At 48.2% G+C, this 15,810-nt stretch overlaps 2 long non-coding RNA genes across 5 annotated transcripts in view, besides 3 other annotated features; one reads left to right on the top strand and one right to left on the bottom strand.

Moving 5' to 3' along the window:
- Positions 1 to 2,340: 2,340 nt before the first annotated feature.
- LOC124904488 (uncharacterized) overlaps positions 2,341 to 15,810 on the bottom strand; it is a 19,430-nt gene continuing 5,960 nt past the window's right edge. Inside the window, exon 3 of the long non-coding RNA XR_007066809.1 lies at positions 2,341 to 2,706. This is a non-coding gene — a long non-coding RNA (uncharacterized LOC124904488). The remainder of the gene's footprint in view (positions 2,707 to 15,810) is intronic.
- Positions 11,692 to 12,522: an enhancer, noted in NCBI's record as "H3K27ac-H3K4me1 hESC enhancer chr1:203491273-203492103 (GRCh37/hg19 assembly coordinates)". NCBI's record gives its function as "activates a minimal SCP1, AML or CMV promoter by ChIP-STARR-seq in primed H9 embryonic stem cells {active_cell/tissue: H9 hESC(primed)}" and the evidence as "EXISTENCE:reporter gene assay evidence [ECO:0000049][PMID:30033119]".
- Positions 14,188 to 15,020: an enhancer, noted in NCBI's record as "OCT4-NANOG-H3K27ac-H3K4me1 hESC enhancer chr1:203488775-203489607 (GRCh37/hg19 assembly coordinates)". NCBI's record gives its function as "activates a minimal SCP1, AML or CMV promoter by ChIP-STARR-seq in naive and primed H9 embryonic stem cells {active_cell/tissue: H9 hESC(naive and primed)}" and the evidence as "EXISTENCE:reporter gene assay evidence [ECO:0000049][PMID:30033119]".
- Positions 15,021 to 15,810: part of an enhancer, noted in NCBI's record as "OCT4-NANOG-H3K27ac-H3K4me1 hESC enhancer chr1:203487943-203488774 (GRCh37/hg19 assembly coordinates)", that runs on past the window's edge. NCBI's record gives its function as "activates a minimal SCP1, AML or CMV promoter by ChIP-STARR-seq in naive and primed H9 embryonic stem cells {active_cell/tissue: H9 hESC(naive and primed)}" and the evidence as "EXISTENCE:reporter gene assay evidence [ECO:0000049][PMID:30033119]".
- Positions 15,269 to 15,810, top strand: part of LOC105371688 (uncharacterized) — a 15,727-nt gene continuing 15,185 nt past the window's right edge. For all 4 annotated transcript variants that reach the window (XR_007066807.1, XR_922442.3, XR_007066808.1 and 1 more), the window contains exon 1: positions 15,269 to 15,326. This is a non-coding gene — a long non-coding RNA (uncharacterized LOC105371688). The remainder of the gene's footprint in view (positions 15,327 to 15,810) is intronic.

Below are 15,810 nucleotides of genomic sequence, written 5' to 3'. Positions count from 1 at the left end.
TGCTCCTAATCATGAATCATCTTGTGACTGCAGCTAGTTCTTACAAGAACCTTTCAAGGAAAGAAGTAAGCCAACTCCAACAGAAACTGCAATGAAAATTGATTGCGATTCTGGGTCCACATTTAATTTTACATTCTCCATGGAAGCTCTAGGAGACGTCAGAAGTGGTAATCCTCATGAAAGAGAAACAAGGTCAGCCTTTGTCTGACATCTCACAGTGGTTAGGCACCGGGGCCTGAATCTGCAGAACTTTGACCTGAGAGATGCTGAATTACTCACTTGAATGAGACTTTGTGGGGTTAAGAACAGGCTTTGGTGCCACAGACTTTAATTCTGATCCCATCTCTATATTAATTTGCTCTGTGTCTTTGAACAAGCCACCTAGCCTCTCTGGGCCTTAGTTTTATTTTATCTAGCAGATAATAAGTTTTCACTCATGAGGTTGTCATAAGGATTGCAACACACAAAATATACAAAAACATCTACCCAGTACCTGGTGCATGAAAGGTCTTAAATTAATTTTATATGCTTCCCCTATTAATGCTGAAATACAGTCTATTTCTTGGTCTGAATTAAGACCACAGTCATCTGAGATGTGGCTGGGTTAATTCCCCAGCAGTCCAGACCATGTTTAGATTTCTAGGACCTGAGGGTAACCCAAGTAACACTATGGGGAAGGATGCAGTTAGGGTTGTTTAGGCAGAGATGCTGCTCAAAGAATTTCTATTTCTCTTCTGGAACCTCCAGCTGCTCCTAGTGCCCTGAGCCGACTCAGCCCTGGATACCAGAAGGCTAACCCTCTAAATAAATGGAGTCCTGGTGGCCATTGGCTGTGTCCTTGGAGTTTTAGTCCTGGTGACCTTACCAGGAAAGGTACATTGCCCATCTTCCTCCATCCGCTACCAGCCCAGTGGTCAGTTTCCCACTGGGCTTATCGCTGTTTCTCATGCTGGGCCCTAATAAGTGGGGATGAATGCATTCTCTACTTTTCCTGTTTCCATGAGAAACAACTTAGCTAGAGTAACGTTCCTGGTTTCTCACCCCAGCCCTCTCTCACTCCACCGGAAGAGCAAGGGAGTGATTTACCTGATTAGTGATCTTAAAGATGAAGCTGGGCCGGGTGCAATGGCTCATGCCTGTAATCCCAGCACTTTAGGAGGGTGCAATGGCTCATGCCTGTAATCCCAGCACTTTAGGAGGCCAAGGGGGACGGATCATCTGAGGTCAGGAGTTTGAGACCAGCCTGGCTAACATGGTAAAACCCCGTCTCTACTAAAAATACAAAAATTAGCCAGGTGTAGTGGTGCACTCCTGTAATCCCAGCTACTTGGGAGGCTGAGACTGGAGAATCACTTGAACCCAAGAGGCAGAGGTTGCAGTGACCAGAGATCATGCCACTGCACTCCAGCCTGGGCAACAGAGTGAGACTCTGCCTCAAAAAAAAAAAAAAAAAGAAAGAAAGAAAAAAGAAAAAAGAAGGAGCTGCATGTATGTGGTGAGCCCCTCTGAAATTCCATCTTGCAATCTACTAGGTTGGTGCAAAAGTAATTGCAGTTTTTTACATTAAAAGTAATGGCAGAGCCAGGTGCGGTGGCTCATGCCTGTAATCCCAGCACTTTGGGAGGCCGAGGTGGGCAGATCACTTGAGGTCAGGAGTTCAAGACCAGCCTGGCCAACATGGTGAGACCCCATCTCTACTAAAAATACAAAAAAAATTGGCCAGGCATGGTGGTGCATGCCCGCAGTCCCAGCTACTTGGGAGGCTGAGGCAGAAGAACTGCTTAAACTCGGGAGGTGGAGGTTGCAGTGAGCTGAGATTGAGCCACTGCACTCCAGCCTGGGTGACAGAATGAGACTCTGTCTCAAAAAAAAAAAAAAAATGGCAAAAACCGCAATTATTTTTGCATCAACCTAATATACCCTGAACTGCTCCCTCTACCATGAGGTGAGCTGAGCAGAGCGTGTTCTGGTTCTTTGGAACAGGCTTCTGTTTAAGGGGGAAGTGGGTCAAAGTATAATTTTCAAAGAATTTTAAAACGTGGCTTCCATACAAATATAGAATGGACATGTGTCAAAGATCCATTTAACTCGTTAACAAGGGAACCAGCAGTATGTTAAAGACGGTTCTTAAGAGCATTTGATGGACAGAGATTTATATAGTTAGTTGGGAAAAGAATGCATAAATAAGTTTATTAAATTAGATGCAAAATCAGTTAATATCCTACAGTGCAACAAAACTGTAGCCTTCGCAATTATTCTTCTACCAAAGAGCAAAAATTTTCATCTTTACTAGACAAAAATATACAAATTAACATGTAATGTTAATAAGTGTTAATGAATCCAGGCTCTAATATATAGTCAATATGAAGGCAAGCAAAGACTCGTTTCTTATAGTGAATGAAATAAATTTTGGTGGGCCTGTTAGACACATCACAGTAGAACATCAAGAGGACAAGCAGTCATCTTTTTGCATTACTTCCAGCTTTTGACAATTTCAAGTAATGCTCAGCAAAGGATAAATTCAGTAGTTGGGGAGGAAACATCAGTAAGCACACGTAAACATTTTGTTGAAGTAGTTTTTTTGGGGGAGCAAGCAGGGCAGGGATGGTAGCTCACGCCTGTAATCTCAGCACTTTGGGAGTCCAAGACAGAAGGAGAGCTTGAGCCCAAGAGTTGGAGACCGGCCTGGCAACATAGACCCCGTCGCTGCAAAAATAAAAAAATTAACTGAGAGTTGTGGTGCACGCCTGTAAGTCCTAGCTACTTGGGAGGCTGAGATGGATGGATTGCCTGTGGCCAGGAGTTCAAGGCTGCAGTGAACTATGATTGTGCCACTGCACTCTAGGCTGGGTGACAGAGTGAGACCTTGTGTTTAAAAACAATAAAAATAGGCCAGGCATGGTGGCTCATGCCTGTAATCCCAGCACTTTGGGAGGCCGAGGCGGTGGATCATGAGGTCAGGAGTTTGAGACCGAGGTCAATATGGTGAAACCCCGTCTCTACTAAAAATACAAAAATTAGCCATGCGTGGTGGCGCGCGCCTGTAGTCCCAGCTACTCAGGAGGCTAAGGCAGAAGAATCGCTTGAACCTGGGAGGCGGAGGTTGCAGCGAGCTGAGATCACACCACTGCACTCCAGCCTGGGTGACAGAGCGAGACTCTGTCTCAAAACAAAACAAAACAAAAACAAACAAACAAAAAACAATAAAAATAAATAAGTACAATAGTTTGGGGTTTTTAATTTTTCTATCTCCGTCTTTGTAATTCTTTGGTCTAACTCTCCTTTTGTTTCTTCTCCCCCCTTGGGTAGAGAATAGAGGAGTGTTATCTGTTGAGCCTCCCAAACCGCAGTGGGCATCATCTTCCCTGGCAGGGCTGCCTGTGAACAGTCATGTGTCCCTGTCTCCCTGGGCTAGCTCTGGGCGGGTGGTGGCCCAGATTTTCTTGCCTCCTCACTCTGCCAGTCTTGGAGGCAACATCAATTCAACTTTCAGGCTATGAAAGCACACAAGGAAACAGACTTAGTCATTTTCTGCTATAAATTTGCAGAGATGCCAGTTTAGTAAACAAAATAAATATATCTTCTCAGTGTATTTGCCTATTATGAATATGTATGAGCTCTTAGAACTTTGGGAGGAGGCAGATTTCTGGGGACAGCTTCTGGATTTAGAGCCCCCTAGGTGGAGAATGGCAAAGGGCTTGCATGCTCTATTTCTCAGCCCCCCACTCCTCACCTCTAAACTGGGCTTCTGAAGAGGGTGAGGAGGAAATCAGATTGGATGAATAGCTATACTTATAAAATCAGTCACTAACACCTACTGAATGCCTATTATGTGACAGCCATAGAGGAGCCGATGCTACAAAAATGACCAAGATGTATAGTCTTGGGCCACCACCAGGGCATGGTCTCCTAGATGAGAAACCTATAAACAAGCAAATTACAAAGTGATACACATGTGTATCACACACGTGTAATAATACAAGGTGTACATGTGTACATGATACAATGATGTATCACACACAATGTGATATCACAAATATAATGTGATAAATATAGCAACGGAAGCCTGTGTGTGGTATAGGGTTTGTTTAAAACACAGATTGGGGTAGGGAAAAATACAAACTGCAAGCAGACACACCTAGGGTCAAATTTCAACTCTACCACTTAGTTGAATACTTTAGATCACTTATTTATAAAATGGGGTCATTCCTTCCTTACTGTTCTTGAGAGTATTTGCAATAATGTACGTAGAGCACTAAATATAGTAACCAGCACCTAGTTGGCACTCAATAAATTATAGCTATTAATGAGAGGCATTGATCATTTCTTTTTTATTTAGGTACAATAAAAAGTTCACGATAGAATTGCCCTTTGCAATGTCCAAGGCACTTTCAGTCCATTATCTCAACACTGGGAAGGAGGTATTTTTGGCCTCTTTTCACAGATCAGGAATCCTGGGCTTAGAGTGGTCAGGAGCCCTGGCCAAGGCCACAAGCTAATGCAGAAATGCTGAGAAAGTATCATTTTTGGGTGAGACAGAGAGCTAGTGAACCCATATCAGCTAGAAGGACAGGAACTGTTCTGCCTTACCTGCATTTTTAGGCCCAAGTGCTGAGAAGCAGGACGAGCAGGAGGAAAGGAATCAGTGCGGCCTTTGCTAACACAGGGATGGCCAAAAGATGGTGGAAGTCACAGAGCCCACTTGGGTGAACAAAATCAGATGATGAAAACAAATGGGGACCCCTGTCTTTTCTTAAAAAATAAATAAAAATAACAAAAGAACTTTACACAAGAGGGGCCAAGACTAGGTACATGTCACAAATTTTGGAACCTTTGTCATTTCCCCTTGCTTGATAATTTAATCTCCCATCCATTCCCCTGAGTAATGAGCAGTGAACTCCTGATGAGGGGAACCACCTATCTACATGTTTTTGGGGGCAGTAAGAAAGTAGGAAATGGTAAAAGAGCATCCTACTGCGTGGGGGCAGCAGGGAAACAGGAACTGGGGGGACAGCACCCTACTGCATGGGAGCAGCAAGGAAACAGGAAATGGGGACAGCATCCTACTGCATGGGGGCGCAGGGAAACAGGAACTGGGGGCACAGCATCCTACTGCATGGGGGCAGCAAGGAAACAGGAACTGGGGGCACAGCATCCTACTGCATGGGGGCAGCAAGGAAACAGGAACTGGGGGCACAGCATCCTACTGCATGGGGGCAGCAGGGAAACATGAACTGGGGGACAGCATCCTACTGCATGGGGGCAGCAAGGAAACAGGAAATGGGTACAGCATCCTACTGCATGGGGGCAGCAGGGAAATGGGAACTGGGCAGACAGCATCCTACTGCATGGGGGCAGCAGGGAAACAGGAACTGGGGGGGACAGCATCCTACTGCATGGGGGCAGCAGGGAAACGAGAACTGGGGGGACAGCATCCTACTGCACAGAAAGAGGAGAACCCCAGGGGATGTGTGGGTGGTGGCAGCTTTTCAGAGAACAAGCAGTTCTCTGAGTTTCGGCACATTCCTGAGGCTAGAAAGGAGACCTGAGAAGAACAGAGGAACCAGTGGGGCCAAAAAGAGGACTTGGGGTTCCACGGTAGAACAGCCAACTGAACATAGAGACAGACTGAAAACCCAGGCCTTCGGATTCCAGACTCTTGTCTCCACTGCATACATTCCCATACAAATTCACCTACACAAACTCTGTGTGCTGGAGGGGATCAGAGGCAGATCACTGAGAGGGTTCATAGATATTGAGAAGGATTGGGTAGTTGGATATTGGCTGCATCTGCTGCTGGGCTGAGAGAGGAAGAAAGCTCAGGAAGATTGCCTAGAGCTTGCCCAGCTCTGAGCCCTGGGCTCACGGTGGTGGCGGTGGGGTGGCGTATCCAGAAGCCCTCTCAAGTTGCAAGAAAGAATAGCCATGTGGGAGTGGTATGGGTGTTGGTCCCAGCCCTGCCATTGACCACTCTATGCTGCTCATTTACACAACTTCCCGGGCCTCAGTGTCTTCATCTGTAAAATGGAGACACAAAATTCCAACCATAACCATTTTATAGTATTCTCAACAAGAACCAACTAAGGCAACAGATGGAGAAGAGCATTGGAAATTGTATAAGCTCTGAAGTGCTAGGAGAGAATTTTGTGTGTTGTTTATTTTAATTAATTTTTTAAAAAATCATGGTCTGACCCACTAGGCCATTTATTGCTGACTTGGAGCTCTCTGATCCTGGGTGCTCTGAGCTTATTTCCCCACGTAGACTGCATGCTGACAGAGAAGGCTGAGGTGCTCAAATCATACTTCTCCATATTTCTGTCATTACTGTCCCACCCTACATGCCCCTCTCACCAGCAGGGCGGCTCTGCCACAGAATTTGATGAGTGGCTGATTGATAGCTTGGCCATGTGTTCGTGGGGATATTCAATTTTTCTTCCAGCATTTAGTCACTGCCTTCCCATCTGTTTGGGTATTGGGGTGGGGGTGGGGTGGGGGGGTGAGCAGCCAGTTTCTCTGCCATCCAGTGTTGGAACAGAATGGCACATGCTTCATTTGCAACAACATGGATTTAGGCTAGACTTTTTTTTTTTTTTTTTTTTAATAGGGTCTCCCTTGTCACCCAGGCTGGAGTGCCATGGCATGATCTCAGCTCACGGCAGCCACGACCTCCCGGGTTCAAGAAATCCTCCTGCCTCAGCCCCCACAAGTAGCTGGGATTACAGGCATGCACCACCATGCCTGGCTAATTTTTGTATTTTTTGTAGGGCTTTCGCCACATTATCCAGGCTGGTCTCCAGTTCCTGGGCTCAAGTGATCCGCCCGCCTCGGCCTCCCAAAGTGCTGGGGTTACAGGTCTGGCCACTGCGCGCAGCCTAGACTAGACTTTAGATAGCTTAGATTAGCTAGAAGGCCTGAGGAATGAAAAAGAAAAGAACTGTGAACTTTTGAAGTTTCCTGGCTAAGTTTTTTTGGTCTTTTATTTTCCAAAGTATTTTAGAGTAAGTTACAGGTATGATTTTTCATTCCTAGATACTTCAGTTTGTATCTTTGAAAAATTAGGGGTTTTTTTTTAGGCTAGTTAAGTAAAGTTAGGGCATTTTGTGTGTGTGTGTGTGTGGTGTATGTGTGTGTAGTGTATGTGGTATGGAGTGTATGTGAATGTACGTAAGAGGGTGTGTGTGTGGGAGTGTGTGTGCCGTGCGTGTGCTGTATAAGCTAATGTGAGTGTGTGGTGTGTGAGCTAATGTAGTGTGTGGTGTGTGAGCTTATGTGAGTGTGTGTGGTGTGTGAGCTAATGTGAGTGTGTGTGGTGTGTGAGCTAATGTAGTGTGTGGTGTGTGAGCTTATGTGAGTGTGTGTGCTGTGTAAGCTAATGTGAGTGTATGTGGTGTGTGAGCTAATGTGAGTGTGTGTGGTGTGTGAGCTAATGTGAGTGTGTCTAGGTGGGTATGTGAGTGTAGGAGTGGTGTGTGAGTGTGTGAGTGTGTGGTGTGTGAGCTTATGTGAGTGTGTGTAGGTGTGGTATGTGAGTGTAGGAGTGGTGTGTGAGAGTGTGTGGGGGGGGAGTTTGGTGTGTGAGTTTATGTGAGTGTGTCTAGGTGGGTATGTGAGTGTAGGAGTGGTGTGCAAGTGTGTGTGAGAGTGTGTGTGTTGTGTGAGCTTATGTGAGTGTCTGTAGGTGTGGTATGTGAGTGGAGGAGTGGTGTGTGAGTGTGTGTGTGTGTGTGTGTGTGTGAGAGAGAGAGAGTGCACGTTTGTGTCAAGTGCACACAGCTCTTTGAGGGGGGGTTTGGCTGCTGCTCTTCTCAGAGGCAGGGGAGTGGGCCAAGGAAGGCCTGGTTCATCCCTCCCAGCTCAGCGAAGCCCTCAGGGAGGGGAGGTGCCCCACACTGGGGCAGGGAGCAGCTGGGGAAAGTTGACTCAAGACAAAGTTCCCGGCTTCTCTTCCCTGGCGCTGCCTTTCCCTCAGGCCCTTTAGTATCCTTTGCCAGGGACTCCATAATCTCTTACTGGGAAACCGGGACAGAATCGAGTGCTGAGTGTGGTACCCAAACTGCAAATCAATGAAGTCTGAATTAAATATTGATTTCCTCCCTTTTCTTTCAGGGAAGTTTCTTGAGAGGAATTGGCTTGCTGGTTTTGTTTTTTGCTTTTTTAATTTTTCATCCTGATCCTTAAACACTACTTATGAAAGACTAATCGTGCAAGGTATAGCCTAGTCCTCTCTTACCCGCCTCCCTCTTTGACTCTGGTAGCTTTCCTCTCCAAAGATGAAATGTCAGCCATTGGGGGAAGTGGCTCATAAGAACATGACTGTCTGCCATCAGCCCACAAGGCCGTGGCTGGGCAAAGGGCAGTCCCACCCCCAGATGCCCCTTGGCTTGGACATTTAGCTCCAGATGGGAGGTCAAGACTTCATCCCAGGCCAAGTAAGCGATGCCAACTAAAGGCTCCCATCTTTAGCATGTCCTGCAAGCTTGCCAGGACTGGGGTAAGGTACTTAGGATGTCCTGGGCCGTAAAAAGACACTGGTGCTTTCCTCACTGCCCCCACATCCCCATAACATAAAGTTAAACCAGAGATAAATTAGAGTAAGGAACACCAAGAATTCTGTTTCTTCCCATAATGATGACCAGGATATCAAACAGTAAGTCACTGACAGGTTTTGGTTTGTTTGTTTGCTTTAGGGACAGGGTCTCACTTTGTCGCCCAGGCTGGAGTACAAGTGATATGACCTTGGCTCACTGCAGCCTCCACCTCCTCGGTTCAAGTGATCCTCCCACCTCAGCCTCCCAGAGTGCTGGAATTACAAGTGTGGGCCAGTGTACCTGGCCTGTGTGGGCCCATTTCTGAGGGAAGTTAGAATCTCACGCCCTGGGCCTGGTGGTCTGTGGTCTAGAAGGCTTCCCCAGCCTCCCTGGAGAACCTGCCAGTGGCAGGTTCTAGGCAGCATTTGAACCCCTCACCCCCATCCCCAAGCCCCATTCTCTTTCCTCTTGTGTGCCAGCAGCTTCCTGGGCCTCCTGCACTTTCAGCCAGCAACTGGCTATGACAGCAGAAAAAGAAAACAGCCAGGTCTCTATTCCCAGAGGACCAGTCTGTAGGGGAGGCTGTTCCGGGATGAGCTTGTTAGCAGAGAAATTTAATTTACTGCCCTCCCACCAGGCTGAAGGTTCTGTGCCTCCATAGAGTCTCCCTCCTGAGCACCCCAGGTTCTTTATGAGAAGTCCTATTGGTCTCAAGGTGAAGGTGTGGAGAATGGAAAATCTCAGGCTGGCTCAAGAGATTGCAGAGTTATCCCCAGGAGAAGATCCCAGGGCTCCAGCTTCGGTGCATCCTCCCACTCTGCCTTATTCGGCTTTGCTGGAAATTCCTCAGTCTCGGTCTCTGGAATGGGTCAAATCTGGGCTTGAATGACAGACAGCATTCATTCACAAACACCTGTTGAGGCCTATTGTGTGCCAGGAGTGCTAAGGTAAAGGAATACTGGGATAAAAACACAGCCTATAATCTGAAAGGCATCTCCCTGGGGAGACAGGCACATACGCAATGACACTATAGTGGGACAAGTGCTGCAATAGGTCTACCCACTAAAGCATGTAAGAGGGACACCTACGGCATGCATGTGGTGAGGCAGGGGTGCAGGGGGCAGGGCTGATTCTGAGCTGATCCTTATGAATGGGTTAGCCAAGTCCAAAAAAGGGTGGGGGATAGGGAAGGGTGTCTCCAGAAGAGGAAACAGCCTGGAGCAAACAGAGGGAGGCATTTAGGAGCCCCCGTGTTGTCTGCAATGGGGTGTCCAGTGCTGTGAGAGACGATAGGGTGTGCATACAGGCCTTGGCATCAAATTGCAGAGGCAGGCTGCCCAAGTGTGCTTTGGGTTCTGTGATGCTGGGAAGTCTATACAATGGGAACAAATAGGACCAGCTTCATGGGGATTTGGGGAGGTAATGAGCAAATGAGATGATCTTTATGAAGTACTTAGCACAGTGTCTAGCTAGGGGTTAGCAGTCTATATATTGCTGTTAGCAGTTCATATCATTACTGATGAATTGTATGATCTTGCAAAAGTTATTTTATAGCTCCCATCCTCAGTTTTCTCATCTGTAAAATGGCGTATTTGTTTGTTTGTTTTTCACAATCTATTCAGTTGTGAACAGATCAAGGGACTGCCTTACTGACTTTAACTTCCCATCTCCTAAGGCAGTGCCCAGTATACAAAGATCAGTCTCTTTTCCTTCCCTTTCCTTTCATTCTTCCAGCCCACTTAGGGCCTAACTGCTCAAAAGAGTGGCTATTTGTTCTCCTTTCAGTTCCGGGGACATTTTGCTCTATACTCAACTTCCAAAAATAGATCTGACTCCAAGTTCCGCACTCTTTCCACTAAACTCCAGTTGCCACAACAAATTTTTAGTCTAACAATGATGTATCGATTTTTGCCTAAAAAATTAGCAATGCATTTTTTTACAAGCCAGTGGTGGTAAGTTTACAGAGAAACAGGCAAGTTTATACATTGCTAATATAATGCTTCAGGTGCAATACATAAACCACTAAAATCCTTTAGGATAGCTAACTGATAATATGCATCAAAAACCTAAACATGTTCAGGTTATTTTTTTCTCAGTAATTCTTGATTCTGACAATCCCAAGGGAATAATCCTAACCACACAAAGAAACTGGTTGCACAAATATATTTGTTGCCACATTACTGATAATAAGGAAAAATCAGAAACAATCTGTGTAATCAATCCTAAGAGAACAGTTAACTAAATCATGATAGAGCCACTTCCTCAAATTTATGAGGTACCCAGAGTAGTCAAATTCACAGAGGCAGGAGGTAGAATGGCGGTTGCTTGGGCCTAGGGGAGAAGAGCGCAGGAAGTTGTTTTTGTTTGTTTGTTTGTTTTTTGAGACGGAGTCTGTCTCTGTTGCCCAGGCTGGAGTGCAGTGGCGTGATCTCAACTCACTGCAACCCCCGCCTCCCAGGTTCAAGCGATTCTCCTGCCTCAGCCTCTTGAGTAGCTGGGACTACAGGCGCCCGCCATCACATTCGGCTAATTTGTTTGTATTTTTAGTAGAGACGGGGTTTCACTGTGTTAGCCAGGATGGTCTCGATCTCCTGACCTCGTGATCTGCCTACTTCGGCCTCCCAAAGTGCTGGGATTACAGGCGTGAGCCACCGCGCCCGGCCTTGCATGGCCATTTCTAATGAATACCTTAATATCGTCCTCATAAAACTCCTCCTCTGGAGACAAACGAACTCCTCCTCTGAAAGGCGGTGGCTGAGTAGACCAGCTCACTTAGTTTTAGGCTTTTTAGAGTAGATCAGACACATGGAAGGGCTAGGCAAGGATGTCACCAGAAAAAGCACTCTAGAGGGCCTCTGGGTTGGTGTCATGTTCCCACAGCCATGAGGACGGCCTGGTCCGTATTCAAGACCTAGACAAAGTGGAGAAGAAGGAACAAGAGGTGCTCTGCCACAGACCCAGGACGCTTCCACGCTTGCCAGTGCTTGTTAGAAACGCATTTTGAAACATTCTCAGACTCTGGGATGGGGGTTTACATACGAAGGGGAACAGGATAGTGCTAAATATCATAATTGGCAGGGTCTGGGAGTGAGGGCATGAGGAGGACCTTGGGGCACCTAGTGCACCAGCAGTCAATATTGTTTATTGAGTGTCTACTACGTGCCAGCCGTGGAGGTATAGAAGCCGCATAGAAAGGGATGAAGTGCACAGACAGTAAAGTTGGGCCACCTGGTTCAAGTCCTGGATCTACCACTTAAGGTTTCATCACATTGGGTACGTTACTTAACCAACTCTGCGACTCAGTTTCCTCATCTGCAAAGTGAGGATAACATCTACCTTGTTGGCTATTATGAGGATTCAGTGAGTTGATAGCAGCAAAATGCTTTAAGCAATGCCTGGCACATGGTAAGCATGATGTACATTTCTATTAAATGAGATTCAATAAATTACCAGCCCCATGCTGCTCAGGAAGTGAGACACTCTCAAAACCTGAACTCCAAACCCCAGACTCAGGCTCAGCAGTTGTCCGCTCGTCTCCATGCACAGAGTTCCTCACGCCTCTCTCTTTCCCTACCCACCTTCCTAATATTCCCTTTGTCTCCTCCCATCCAGGCAGGGAGCTTTTATTCAGGTCGGTGAAAGGAGTGGGCGTGGGGGCCGCGGAGCTCCAGAGGCTGGGGGCAGGGTGAAGCCAGGCCGGCTGCTCTGGCTGGCCGCCGTGCCTCCTGCCGGGCTCCAGGAGGGCATGCCAAGAGCAGAGGGATGCAGATTGGGCTGGAGGCAGATTAATATAATCACTGTATTACCAGCCCCACTCACTCCCCTACTCTTTTCCCTAATGGTGATTATTATACTTATTAGAGGCTCAGCTGCCAATGGTTATTGATGCTCCCTGCTGCAGCATTTTAATCAGGGCTGGAAGCTATTGTTGGAAACACCAGCCTCCAGGGCCCCAGGACAGGTGCAGAGTGGGGCATCGGGACCTTTTCAGCCAGGCAGGTGAGGTCCCCAGGGCTCCAGAGTCATAGAGAGAACTCAACCCACAAACACCCTGCCTCTGTCTGGTGGCAGGGAAGGGGGGATGGAGAGGGGAATGGCACCACCCTGGGCTTCCCTCCACGGAGGCCAGCTGGCGGTTTTTTCCAGCTGGGGCATAGCTGGGGCTGCCTCTGCTGGGTACACCACCAATTCTCCTCCTCACACCAGGGAGGATTCCCTTTTCTGCCCCCTCCACCATCACCCAGCGTCCTCCCCACTCCCCTGTGCCTGCTGGTGCTGAGGGGCGAACTGAATCTGTTTGGGTGTCTGTGGAACAGGTAAGGAGTGGTGATGGTGGGTGGGAAGCGCCTAGCTGGGCTGTGGCCACAACATGCTGGTCATTTATCTGGGGCTGGGGTGAGGGTGAGAGAGAATTCATGCTTGTTGAACCCACACTAGGTTTCAGGCATGTGTCAGGAGCTTCGCCCATGTTATCTCCTTTATCACATCAGCCTTTCCAATGCCGCACTTTCCAGCACACTTGACAGAGGAAACAGAAACTCAGAGAATCAGAGTGGCGTGCCCAAGGTCACTCAGCTAGGATGGGGCAGGGCTGGGATTGGAGCCAGGGCATACACTCTTATAGATGAGAAAAACCCCATGGCAGATCACTGGTGGCAGAATCTTCCAGATCTATGCAGATATCAGTCCTGCATGGTCCAACTCTGTTCTCTGTAGGCTCTAACCACCCTGATTAAGCGTAGAGTCATCCCACATGTAATCACCAGAGAACTAAGCCTGCCCTGTGTGAGAGCCACCTGCCTGGGCTCTGGAGTCAGTGATGGCTCTGGACTGGGGGGATATCCTGTGGCCCAAGCTGTGACTCCCGGTGTGCCCACTAGGCACCCTCCTGCATTAGCGTGCTGAGGGTAAGACCACCCTGGCTGGTGGAAGCCTTTGTCTGTTACCGCCTCAGGGTTACTGGGGGCGGGTTAGGGGGGTGGTTTCTGAGGCTGACTGAGGCGTGGCACCCTCCCACTGCCCAGGATGTGATTATGTCTTGAGTTCATACAAGTTCATGGCACATAAAGCCCTGACAGCAAATGCAGAGGGGAGGAGGGCCAATAAAAGCCAAGTGAAAATGTAATAAATCAAAAATATTAACTATTTCATACACCCACAAATGGTCTTGTAATGTGAGCATTTTTCAGTTCTACTGAAAATATGATGTGGATTAGGTGTTAACAGTTAAAAATGATCACAGGCCTTTGTGGTGGACACTGGTGAGTTCTGGGTCTAGATGAGGGCCCACCTGTCTGCTCCAAAGTGTCCATGACAGGCGATGTCCCAGACACATTGTTGCTGAATGTCTGTACTGAAACATCTCTTAGAAGTCCTGTAGCTGGTGCTGTTTTGACATCTGGGCCCCTCTACTTTCCAAGAGAAGACAGGATGGAGGAGGCAGACATGAGTGCCTCCTAGGCACCCTGCACACCAGAACGCCCCAGGAAAAGGGCTTTCTTTCCTCCTCAGGGTGCACCAAGAACTTCTCTGCTCTCCTCCGTCTGCCTGGCTTCTCTCCTTCCCTTTGTTTCTGTCTGAGTCGCCTTAGGGACTAACGCAATGGTGGACAATGATGTCATCTCTGAGATCACTTTGGCAGACTGGCTCCTGGGCCTCTGATAGAATTGCCCACTTCCCCTGTCTCTCCTGTGGGGCATGGCTGGCCAGCCACAGTCTTGGTCCAGTCTTCCCTGCAGTGTCCCACCCCGAAGGCTGAGTCTCTTTGGCATTAGAGCCAGCCCTTCAAAAAACAAAGCAAAACTGTTTTGTACCTTTTCCTCTGTCCCCTCCCCACCATGCACCAGCTCCTCTGGGATCTTTCAGAGGACAGCAGATGCACCTGGGCCCAGCTCCTCACCCAAAGGGCCTCTGGTGTTGAATGGCCCTCAGCCCAGGCATTTCTGACCCCACTCCCCACCCTGTGTGTTGCTCCCAGCCACCCCGGGCCTGACCAGCTCAGCCATTTCATCCTTTGTCTACTGACTGGCATCATTCCCATGGCTGCACCCCCAGTTGTGGACACCCAACCCTGCTCACAGTGAGGATGCATTCCTTTCCAGGAGAAAGCACCTTGGGGAGGTAGGGCTGGCAGCCCCCCAATGAACGCTCTGTGCGTCATGTGGCAAAGAATACCACCGTCCTGAGCCTTAGAGATTTTTCTTAACTGTAAAACGCAGATGGGATCTGATTGAACGTGTGGATCAAATGAGACCATGGGTGTACAGTGCTTAATCCCATGTCTGGCACACAGTGGCTGTCCTATAGGCCCTACTGCCTCTCTCCCTTTCCTCTTTCTGGCTAAGTTGTGTCCTAGCTGTAGCATATGGTTGGGGCAGGGAACATGATAGACCTAGGAGGTGTTCGGCACCTGGGAGGCCTGGTGTTGGCTGGGGCTGCAGTATTGCTGCTGGGTCACCTTGGCCTCACCTGTGTCACCTGATTTCCACTCCCAAGGAGTGACGTATCTGGATCCACACAACTCCAATGACTCCTAATCAGCCCTGACACTTGGTGAATGAGTCACAGCAAGCAATACACAGAGATGAAAGGAGCCAGCATTGTGATCTTGGTTATGATAATGAGCTTGATGAGCTTCTCCCAGGGAAACTTGGAGATGCATGAGAGAGGCAGGCTGCCTCTGTCCCTGCCCTGACAAATGGGATGCTAATACAAAGGGTCTCTGTTAACTCCCCTGCCCCCTCAAACACACACACCTGCTGCTCCTGGGCTGTTCTGATGGCACGGTATCCTGGGAAGGTAAGCTTTTGGGGGTGAGCGGGGAGAGAAGGGGCAGCTCCAGAGGGGAGGAGCTGAGATACATGCTCCAGGAACTGTCCGGCAGCAGTGGGAAGGAGCTGAGATACGTGTTCCAGGAACTGTCCGGCGGTTTCTTACAGACCCAGAGCAGCCCCATACCTCGGTCACCAGGACTGCTGGCTGGTCTCAAAAGGGGATCAAAGTGGGAGACCTTCGGGCAGGTCATACTTCTCTTACAGCAGGACAATAGCTTCTGTTTGTGGAGCTCTAAGTATCAAATAGTGGTAAGCACTATGTGTGTGCACATTATTTAATCCGATCCTCATGACAGCCCTGAGTAGGATAGTATTTCCATTTTGCAGATGGAGAAAGTAAAACAGGAGAACAATAACTTACCTAGTGGCAGAACTAAGATTTAAACCCAGGTCCATCTGCATGCACTAACCAGACCAGGCCTTGTTTAAGGAGGAAGTGCAGTCTAAAG

The sequence above is a fragment of the Homo sapiens genome, chromosome 1 (assembly GCF_000001405.40).
Source record: "Homo sapiens chromosome 1, GRCh38.p14 Primary Assembly".
Taxonomy (NCBI): Eukaryota; Metazoa; Chordata; class Mammalia; order Primates; family Hominidae; genus Homo; species Homo sapiens.
The sequence above is the reverse complement of the archived record's forward strand: the minus strand, read 5'-3'. Positions and strand labels throughout refer to the sequence as shown.